We start from the raw sequence: 10,758 nt of genomic DNA, 5'->3' as shown, positions 1-10,758 counted from the left end.
ACTGTAATGCATTCTCGAGGGTTTTTCCTCTGATTTTGACATTTTTTGAGAAGAATAACAAAACTAACAGCTTCATACCGCATCTTACCAATGATGAGAGCATTTTGGATGGAATAGACGTGCAATGCTCATTTGATATCGTCTGAGTGACGTTTTGGAACGTGTCACAGCCACGAGCCATGTGCAAACCTTTCTGTTATGCAACTGGGAAGACTGACAGCAATGAAAATAAACAAAAAGTTAATCCTTAAATAAAGCGTTTAACCAGAGACATTAGCACATAAGGGAGGAAACTGGAAGATATTTCACCTATTTTTTTAGGCTTCAGCACACTCATTTTTAAATGAGAATTGAAATCAGAATATTCCAGGATTATTTAAGTAACTAGCTCATTCAGTTAAGGCCAAACCGTTTTTCGTTTAGCTCTTATTGGTACGTGAAATCTATGAAGTAGGATGTGCTGCTTAAAGGCAGAGGCGTGGGTAGAATATATCACATCTGTCAACTGACATTTCTTACTTAGACTAGCAAGGTATTGTACGAATTTTCAAAACATTTTCCTTAAAATAATTTTAATCACAATGAGGATAAATCCTGTTTTCCTCCTTTCTCCTTGCCTGCTTTCAGAAATCATAATTACTATAAGCCAGTGTTTTTCAGCCTCCAAAGTGTTACCAATTACTACAGTATAGACTTTCTTTCCAAACTGCGGCAGTGACTGATTCAAAATATCTCAGGATTACTGTGCCGTAAGAAATTATTTAATGTTATCCTTCGTAAATGTAATTAATTAATTAGACCTTATTTGTTGAGAATTCTACTTGATACCCAATTCAGTAGTAATTAGGGGGAAGTAGATGGAAATCTTATACATGTAAAGACATTACATTTCATTTATCCTCTACTTCCAAAATAGATATATATATATGAATGCAGTTAAGATATGACAACAAAACCATAGCAGTATAAAACCAATTAATATGATAAGTGAAAGAGATATACCTCATAATCTGTTGTTCATATTCCTTATCTCTGGTGAATTTTGGACAATTTCTTCAAATATATTTTACAATTCATTAATTCTCTTTTTGTTGTTTGGAATTTAATATTTAATGAGCCCCATGCTTTTGATTTCTTTATCCAAGTTTTTTATATTTTCTACATTGTTTTTCAGTTAGCTATTTTTAAAAATTTTAAACCAAGAGAAAAATGGAAAGAATAATAATCTGAAAGGTATATAAATATAAAACCTTCATGAGGGTTCACCAGTTGGTAATATTTTTTACATTTTTGCTCTTCCTCTCCCTACACACAAACACACACACACGTGCAGGTGTATAAACTTTGTTTTGCTGATCCTTGTTAAAGTTGCAGACAGAGATGCTTTACCCTTACATCAGCATGTATCTCTGAAGAGCCTGCACAATATCCATCATTACCACATTAACGTCCTACACTCCAGAAATTAACATTGCTATAATAATATTGTCCACATGTAAGTTGACCCAATTGACCTCAAATTATCTTTTACACGTTTTTCTCCTCATCCGGGTCCACTCAGGGATCCTGCATGTTAATTGCTTTCTCACAGCCTGTGACAATACTGACAATAAATACTTACAGTAAGACGGCATGAGAACATTTCAGCAGAGGGCATTTCTTTCTTCCCAAAAGAGCAGAGGCTGTGATCCTCAAATTTCCCCGTTATTTCCCTTTTCAGGCAAGCATATCATTTTTTCTAGTGTCTCATTTCATTTCACTGAGGGGATCCTCCAGGCACCTATCTATGCCTTGGCAGGTGGGTCTTACAACCAGTTAACAGAAAGGAAGACACTTGAGCTTCGCTTATACATGGGGCCAACAGAGGCATGTTATCCAAAGCATAGACAGCTGCGTGCTACAGCTCTGTCCGGAGCAGCGCGGAAGGCAGTGGTGAGTGGAACCATCCCGGGGAGCCGGGCCTCACAGAGCACCTGGCACGGACGTGGTGCAGCAGGAGAGGCTGGAGTGAGCAGGTGGAGAGCTGGTTAGAGGCGAGTGGGTTGGTCAGGAAGGAGCCATCCAGAAAGATTGGGGTCAGGGGGTCCAAGGTAGAGGCGTGCAAATGGACTTAGAGGACAGAACAAAAATCATGGGCATCTTTTTTTTTTTCCCCACAAAAATCCCGTTCAGAAAGGGCATTGTTAAGTGTCGTGAAATTGCCCATCAGAAAGCATCCACCCTACAGGGAGATGGGAGAGAGAGCGTGGCCTGCATGGTGTAGGAGCGCCTGATGCTTTCCATAACCGTCCTGTTTGGTAGAAAGGACGCCAACAGAGACGCTGCGGCAGGAGGGATGGAGACTAAGCCTGCAGGTGACTCCCTCAGAGTCCTCCAGCCCTCCGAGGGTGACAGCTCATCCTCCAGCACTGACTGTCCTCACTGCCTGCTGGTCAGCACCACCCTCCGAGGGCTTACAGACAGGCTGTTTGAACTGGAGTCCTACCTAAATCTCCTCAAAGAAGGAACCTCCTTTATAATTAAGCAGGTGTGGCATGACCACGGTCTGCTGGTCTTTCCATTGACCACACCACCCTGAGCAGCCAGTGTAATAGAACGCTCACCTGGCCTATGGGACACTCATCTACAGTGACCACTCACAGACAACACCCTGTGGGGCTGGGGTGCTGCCTTAGAAATGAGGTACATGCAGCGAATCAACACCCATTATCTGAAGCAGTGTCCCTATGGAAATACTCGGGTCTGGAAAGCAAGCCATGCATGAAGGTTTGGCCCCATTCACCATCATTGCAATGACCCACTTGTGGAATGTGTGTTTTCTTCCAGCAAACGTAGGTGCTGCTGGAATAAGGGGTCTGGTTTCCAGAGCATGCACCTTGAATCAGGGGACAGAATAAATGTCACTGATCCTGAAGCTGAACCACCACCCTGTCATCTCAGTCTTCCTGTTGTAGTGGGCCAGTGGGAGAAGAAATGAGTTACCATATTGGAGGCATTAATTAAACTCTGATTACCCTGAAAACCAAGTGATGCTACTATGCAAGGAGAGTCACAAGAATAGGTCAAAAATCAGGGGATTCACTGGACTATTTCTTGGTACTTAGTGGACTATTTCCACTAATAACCATACATGGGCAACTGACGCCACTTTGGCTCGGCAAAGGTTAAAGCAAATAAGAGCTTTGCTACTTTGTGGATGATGGTCAGTGTCACCTATCAGGCAAGTAACCTAGACCCACTGCTGAGTGTGGAGCAGCATCAGAAGGCACGTTAGAGGAGGGAGAGAGTGAATATCAGTCACGATTTTGAGACCAACTGCAGCGGCAGAGACTATCTTACTACAAGCCTCTGATTTTGAATAATTTGTGGAGTTCAGGGCTATTTATGGGAGATTGTAATTAACCCAGGATATTAGCATATCTAAGTGGCGCAAGAGAGGAATTGTGCTTAGACATCTTCTATGCTGTGTCTCACATACACTTGGTCTAAAGTTTTGCTCCAGGTCTGTTGCAGCAAGCACATGCACACGTTAGCCTGACAGCACCTTGTCTCAACTGCAATAGGAAGCTGTTCCTTGCTAATGCCACTGTATGGACTCCTGTAGGACTTCTCAGACCTTCTGATGCATGCACAGACCTCAGAGGAGGGGGAATAAAACACTTTCTGGAAATCCTTGTCTAATGGGGAACTAGTGGTTAAACAAAGCCATTCTTCTATGTCTCAGACAGACAATAATGAAACACATTTTATATGGTCTCTTTGGAGTTCTCCCAGAGGGAAGGACTCTAGTTGCCCCAGGTAACTAGAATTACTCAGCTTAGCAGTCATCCTCGCGTTGCCTTTTCTCCTTGTCCATTTCACTCTTCCTATTTCACCATCACTTGCCCCTGTGGTTTATTTCCCACAATAAACTACACACCAGCAAACCCTTGTCTCAGGTTCTGCCTCAGGGTAAGATGGAATGAATCCAAGCTGAGATATCTTTGAACAGGGTGGCAACGTAATGCATGTGATTCATCTAGTAAACAAGGACTTTCCCAGGCGAACCAGGATGTGTGTTCACTATGCCTAGGCAGGCTAAATATCAGGTGTAAAAAAAATCATTAAAATTTATAAACTCAATATTATGGGCATAAAAGTGAAGAAAATCATAGATTCAATGAATGAAAGTTCAATGTAATAAAACATTAAAAAACAGTGTGTTAGTCTGTTCTCATGCTGCTAATAAAGACATACCTAAGACTGGGTAATTTATTTTTTTTTTTTTAATTTTTTTTTTTTTATTATACTCTAAGTTTTAGGGTACATGTGCACATTGTGCAGGTTAGTTACATATGTATACATGTGCCATGCTGGTGCGCTGCACCCACTAACGTGTCATCTAGCATTAGGTATATCTCCCAATGCTATCCCTCCCCCCTCCCCCGACCCCACCACAGTCCCCAGAGTGTGATATTCCCCTTCCTGTGTCCATGTGATCTCATTGTTCAATTCCCACCTATGAGTGAGAATATGCGGTGTTTGGTTTTTTGTTCTTGCGATAGTTTACTGAGAATGATGGTTTCCAATTTCATCCATGTCCCTACAAAGGACATGAACTCATCATTTTTTATGGCTGCATAGTATTCCATGGTGTATATGTGCCACATTTTCTTAATCCAGTCTATCATTGTTGGACATTTGGGTTGGTTCCAAGTCTTTGCTATTGTGAATAGTGCCGCAATAAACATACATGTGCATGTGTCTTTATAGCAGCATGATTTATAGTCATTTGGGTATATACCCAGTAATGGGATGGCTGGGTCAAATGGTATTTCTAGTTCTGGATCCCTGAGGAATCGCCACACTGACTTCCACAATGGTTGAACTAGTTTACAGTCCCACCAACAGTGTAAAAGTGTTCCTATTTCTCCACATCCTCTCCAGCACCTGTTGTTTCCTGACTTTTTAATGATTGCCATTCTAACTGGTGTGAGATGATATCTCATAGTGGTTTTGATTTACATTTCTCTGATGGCCAGTGATGATGAGCATTTCTTCATGTGTTTTTTGGCTGCATAAATGTCTTCTTTTGAGAAGTGTCTGTTCATGTCCTTCGCCCACTTTTTGATGGGGTTGTTTGTTTTTTTCTTGTAAATTTGTTTGAGTTCATTGTAGATTCTGGATATTAGCCCTTTGTCAGATGAGTAGGTTGCGAAAATTTTCTCCCATGTTGTAGGTTGCCTGTTCACTCTGATGGTAGTTTCTTTTGCTGTGCAGAAGCTCTTGAGTTTAATTAGATCCCATTTGTCAATTTTGGCTTTTGTTGCCATTGCTTTTGGTGTTTTGGACATGAAGTCCTTGCCCACGCCTATGTCCTCAATGGTAATGCCTAGGTTTTCTTCTAGGGTTTTTATGGTTTTAGGTCTAACGTTTAAATCTTTAATCCATCTTGAATTGATTTTTGTATAAGGTGTAAGGAAGGGATCCAGTTTCATCTTTCTACATATGGCTAGCCAGTTTTCCCAGCACCATTTATTAAATAGGGAATCCTTTCCCCATTGCTTGTTTTTCTCAGGTTTGTCAAAGATCAGATAGTTGTAGATATGCGGCATTATTTCTGAGGGCTCTGTTCTGTTCCATTGATCTATATCTCTGTTTTGGTACCAGTACCATGCTGTTTTGGTTACTGTAGCCTTGTAGTATAGTTTGAAGTCAGGTAGTGTGATGCCTCCAGCTTTGTTCTTTTGGCTTAGGATTGACTTGGCGATGCGGGCTCTTTTTTGGTTCCATATGAACTTTAAAGTAGTTTTTTCCAATTCTGTGAAGAAAGTCATTGGTAGCTTGATGGGGATGGCATTGAATCTGTAAATTACCTTGGGCAGTATGGCCATTTTCACGATATTGATTCTTCCTACCCATGAGCATGGAATGTTCTTCCATTTGTTTGTGTCCTCTTTTATTTCCTTGAGCAGTGGTTTGTAGTTCTCCTTGAAGAGGTCCTTCACATCCCTTGTAAGCTGGATTCCTAGGTATTTTATTCTCTTTGAAGCGATTGTGAATGGGAGTTCACTCATGATTTGGCTCTCTGTTTGTCTGTTGTTGGTGTATAAGAATGCTTGTGATTTTTGTACATTGATTTTGTATCCTGAGACTTTGCTGAAGTTGCTTATCAGCTTAAGGAGATTTTGGGCTGAGACGATGGGGTTTTCTAGATAAACAATCATGTCGTCTGCAAACAGGGACAATTTGACTTCCTCTTTTCCTAATTGAATACCCTTTATTTCCTTCTCCTGCCTGATTGCCCTGGCCAGAACTTCCAACACTATGTTGAATAGGAGCGGTGAGAGAGGGCATCCCTGTCTTGTGCCAGTTTTCAAAGGGAATGCTTCCAGTTTTTGCCCATTCAGTATGATATTGGCTGTGGGTTTGTCATAGATAGCTCTTATTATTTTGAAATACGTCCCATCAATACCTAATTTATTGAGAGTTTTTAGCATGAAGGGTTGTTGAATTTTGTCAAAGGCTTTTTCTGCATCTATTGAGATAATCATGTGGTTTTTGTCTTTGGCTCTGTTTATATGCTGGATTACATTTATTGATTTGCGTATATTGAACCAGCCTTGCATCCCAGGGATGAAGCCCACTTGATCATGGTGGATAAGCTTTTTGATGTGCTGCTGGATTCGGTTTGCCAGTATTTTATTGAGGATTTTTGCATCAATGTTCATCAAGGATATTGGTCTGAAATTCTCTTTTTTGGTTGTGTCTCTGCCCGGCTTTGGTATCAGAATGATGATGGCCTCATAAAATGAGTTAGGGAGGATTCCCTCTTTTTCTATTGATTGGAATAGTTTCAGAAGGAATGGTACCAGTTCCTCCTTGTACCTCCGGTAGAATTCGGCTGTGAATCCATCTGGTCCTGGACTCTTTTTGGTTGGTAAACTATTGATTATTGCCACAATTTCAGAGCCTGTTATTGGTCTATTCAGAGATTCAACTTCTTCCTGGTTTAGTGTTGGGAGAGTGTATGTGTCGAGGAATGTATCCATTTCTTCTAGATTTTCTAGTTTATTTGCGTAGAGGTGTTTGTAGTATTCTCTGATGGTAGTTTGTATTTCTGTGGGATCGGTGGTGATATCCCCTTTATCATTTTTTATTGTGTCTATTTGATTCTTCTCTCTTTTTTTCTTTATTAGTCTTGCTAGTGGTCTATCAATTTTGTTGATCCTTTCAAAAAACCAGCTCCTGGATTCATTGATTTTTTGAAGGGTTTTTTGTGTCTCTATTTCCTTCAGTTCTGCTCTGATTTTAGTTATTTCTTGCCTTCTGCTAGCTTTTGAATGTGTTTGCTCTTGCTTTTCTAGTTCTTTTAATTGTGATGTTAGTGTGTCAATTTTGGATCTTTCCTGCTTTCTCTTGTAGGCATTTAGTGCTATAAATTTCCCTCTACACACTGCTTTGAATGCGTCCCAGAGATTCTGGTATGTGGTGTCTTTGTTCTCGTTGGTTTCAAAGAACATCTTTATTTCTGCCTTCATTTCGTTATGTACCCAGTAGTCATTCAGGAGCAGGTTGTTCAGTTTCCATGTAGTTGAGCGGCTTTGAGTGAGATTCTTAATCCTGAGTTCTAGTTTGATTGCACTGTGGTCTGAGAGATAGTTTGTTATAATTTCTGTTCTTTTACATTTGCTGAGGAGAGCTTTACTTCCAACTATGTGGTCAACTTTGGAATAGGTGTGGTGTGGTGCTGAAAAAAATGTATATTCTGTTGATTTGGGGTGGAGAGTTCTGTAGATGTCTATTAGGTCTGCTTGGTGCAGAGCTGAGTTCAATTCCTGAGTATCCTTGTTGACTTTCTGTCTCGTTGATCTGTCTAATGTTGACAGTGGGGTGTTAAAGTCTCCCATTATTAATGTGTGGGAGTCTAAGTCTCTTTGTAGGTCCCTCAGGACTTGCTTTATGAATCTGGGTGCTCCTGTATTGGGTGCATATATATTTAGGATAGTTAGCTCCTCTTGTTGAATTGATCCCTTTACCATTATGTAATGGCCTTCTTTGTCTCTTTTGATCTTTGTTGGTTTAAAGTCTGTTTTATCAGAGACTAGGATTGCAACCCCTGCCTTTTTTTGTTTTCCATTGGCTTGGTAGATCTTCCTCCATCCTTTTATTTTGAGCCTATGTGTGTCTCTGCACGTGAGATGGGTTTCCTGAATACAGCACACTGATGGGTCTTGACTCTTTATCCAACTTGCCAGTCTGTGTCTTTTAATTGCAGAATTTAGTCCATTTATATTTAAAGTTAATATTGTTATGTGTGAATTTGATCCTGTCATTATGATGTTAGCTGGTGATTTTGCTCATTAGTTGATGCAGTTTCTTCCTAGTCTTGATGGTCTTTACATTTTGGCATGATTTTGCAGCGGCTGGTACCGGTTGTTCCTTTCCATGTTTAGTGCTTCCTTCAGGAGCTCTTTTAGGGCAGGCCTGGTGGTGACAAAATCTCTCAGCATTTGCTTGTCTATATTTTATTTCTCCTTCACTTATGAAGCTTAGTTTGGCTGGATATGAAATTCTGGGTTGAAAATTCTTTTCTTTAAGAATGTTGAATATTGGCCCCCACTCTCTTCTGGCTTGTAGGGTTTCTGCCGAGAGATCCACTGTTAGTCTGATGGGCTTTCCTTTGAGGGTAACCCGACCTTTCTCTCTGGCTGCCCTTAACATTTTTTCCTTCATTTCAACTTTGGTGAATCTGACAATTATGTGTCTTGGAGTTGCTCTTCTCGAGGAGTATCTTTGTGGCGTTCTCTGTATTTCCTGAATCTGAACGTTGGCCTGCCTTGCTAGATTGGGGAAGTTCTCCTGGATAATATCCTGCAGAGTGTTTTCCAACTTGGTTCCATTCTCCACATCACTTTCAGGTACACCAATCAGACGTAGATTTGGTCTTTTCACATAGTCCCATATTTCTTGGAGGCTTTGCTCATTTCTTTTTATTCTTTTTTCTCTAAACTTCCCTTCTCGCTTCATTTCATTCATTTCATCTTCCATTACTGATACCCTTTCTTCCAGTTGATCGCATCGGCTCCTGAGGCTTCTGCATTCTTCACGTAGTTCTCGAGCCTTGGTTTTCAGCTCCATCAGCTCCTTTAAGCACTTCTCTGTATTGGTTATTCTAGTTATACATTCTTCTAAATTTTTTTCAAAGTTTTCAACTTCTTTGCCTTTGGTTTGAATGTCCTCCCGTAGCTCAGAGTAATTTGATCGTCTGAAGCCTTCTTCTCTCAGCTCGTCAAAATCATTCTCCATCCAGCTTTGTTCTGTTGCTGGTGAGGAACTGCGTTCCTTTGGAGGAGGAGAGGCGCTCTGCGTTTTAGAGTTTCCAGTTTTTCTGTTCTGTTTTTTCCCCATCTTTGTGGTTTTATCTACTTTTGGTCTTTGATGATGGTGATGTACAGATGGGTTTTCGGTGTAGATGTCCTTTCTGGTTGTTAGTTTTCCTTCTAACAGACAGGACCCTCAGCTGCAGGTCTGTTGGAATACCCTGCCGTGTGAGGTGTCAGTGTGCCCCTGCTGGGGGGTGCCTCCCAGTTAGGCTGCTCGGGGGTCAGGGGTCAGGGACCCACTTGAGGAGGCAGTCTGCCCGTTCTCAGATCTCCAGCTGCGTGCTGGGAGAACCACTGCTCTCTTCAAAGCTGTCAGACAGGGACACTTAAGTCTGCAGAGGTTACTGCTCTTTTTGTTTGTCTGTGCCCTGCCCCCAGAGGTGGAGCCTACAGAGGCAGGCAGGCCTCCTTGAGCTGTGGTGGGCTCCACCCAGTTCGAGCTTCCCGGCTGCTTTGTTTACCTAAGCAAGCCTGGGCAATGGCGGGCGCCCCTCCCCCAGCCTCGCTGCCGCCTTGCAGTTTGATCTCAGACTGCTGTGCTAGCAATCAGCGAGATTCCGTGGGCGTAGGACCCTCTGAGCCAGGTGTGGGATATAGTCTCGTGGTGCGCCGTTTCTTAAGCCGGTCTGAAAAGCGCAATATTCGGGTGGGAGTGACCCGATTTTCCAGGTGCGTCCGTCACCCCTTTCTTTGACTCGGAAAGGGAACTCCCTGACCCCTTGCGCTTCCCAGGTGAGGCAATGCCTCGCCCTGCTTCGGCTCGCGCACGGTGCGCGCACACACTGGCCTGCGCCCACTGTCTGGCACTCCCTAGTGAGATGAACCCGGTACCTCAGATGGAAATGCAGAAATCACCCGTCCTCTGCGTCGCTCACGCTGGGAGCTGTAGACCGGAGCTGTTCCTATTCGGCCATCTTGGCTCCACTCTGTCCACTCACTTTGAAGTGAAAAGGGAGCATGACTCTTCCCATAAGGTTCTAGAAAGAACAAGTCACATATCAAAGACTGAAAGTCATGATGATTCTGGACTTCTTATTAACAATACTCCAAAAGTCCATGGATAACTTCAAAATCCTTATCTATTTTTCATAGCAGATCTTAAGAACTGGCTCGGAGGGTCCTACGCCCACGGAGTCTCGCTGATTGCTAGACTGGGTAATTTATAAAGGAAAGAAGTTTAATGGACTCATGGTTCCACGTGGCTGGGGAGGCCTCACAATCATGGTGGAAGGGCAAGAGCCATCTTACATGGCGGCAGGCAAGAAGAGAATGAGAACCAAGCCAAAGGATTTCCCCTTATACAACCATCAGATCTCATGAGACTTATTCACTACCAGGAGAATAGTGTGCGGGAAACTGCTCCCATGATTCAATTGCCTCCCACTGGGGCCCA

The 10,758-nt window shown here is 42.3% G+C and overlaps 1 annotated feature.

The window, feature by feature from the left end:
* Nucleotides 9,799–10,508: an enhancer, noted in NCBI's record as "NANOG-H3K27ac-H3K4me1 hESC enhancer chr4:190058020-190058729 (GRCh37/hg19 assembly coordinates)". NCBI's record gives its function as "activates a minimal SCP1, AML or CMV promoter by ChIP-STARR-seq in primed H9 embryonic stem cells {active_cell/tissue: H9 hESC(primed)}" and the evidence as "EXISTENCE:reporter gene assay evidence [ECO:0000049][PMID:30033119]".

Source organism: Homo sapiens, chromosome 4 (genome assembly GCF_000001405.40).
Source record: "Homo sapiens chromosome 4, GRCh38.p14 Primary Assembly".
NCBI classification, from domain to species: Eukaryota; Metazoa; Chordata; class Mammalia; order Primates; family Hominidae; genus Homo; species Homo sapiens.
This window is presented reverse-complemented; position numbering and strand designations above follow the sequence as displayed.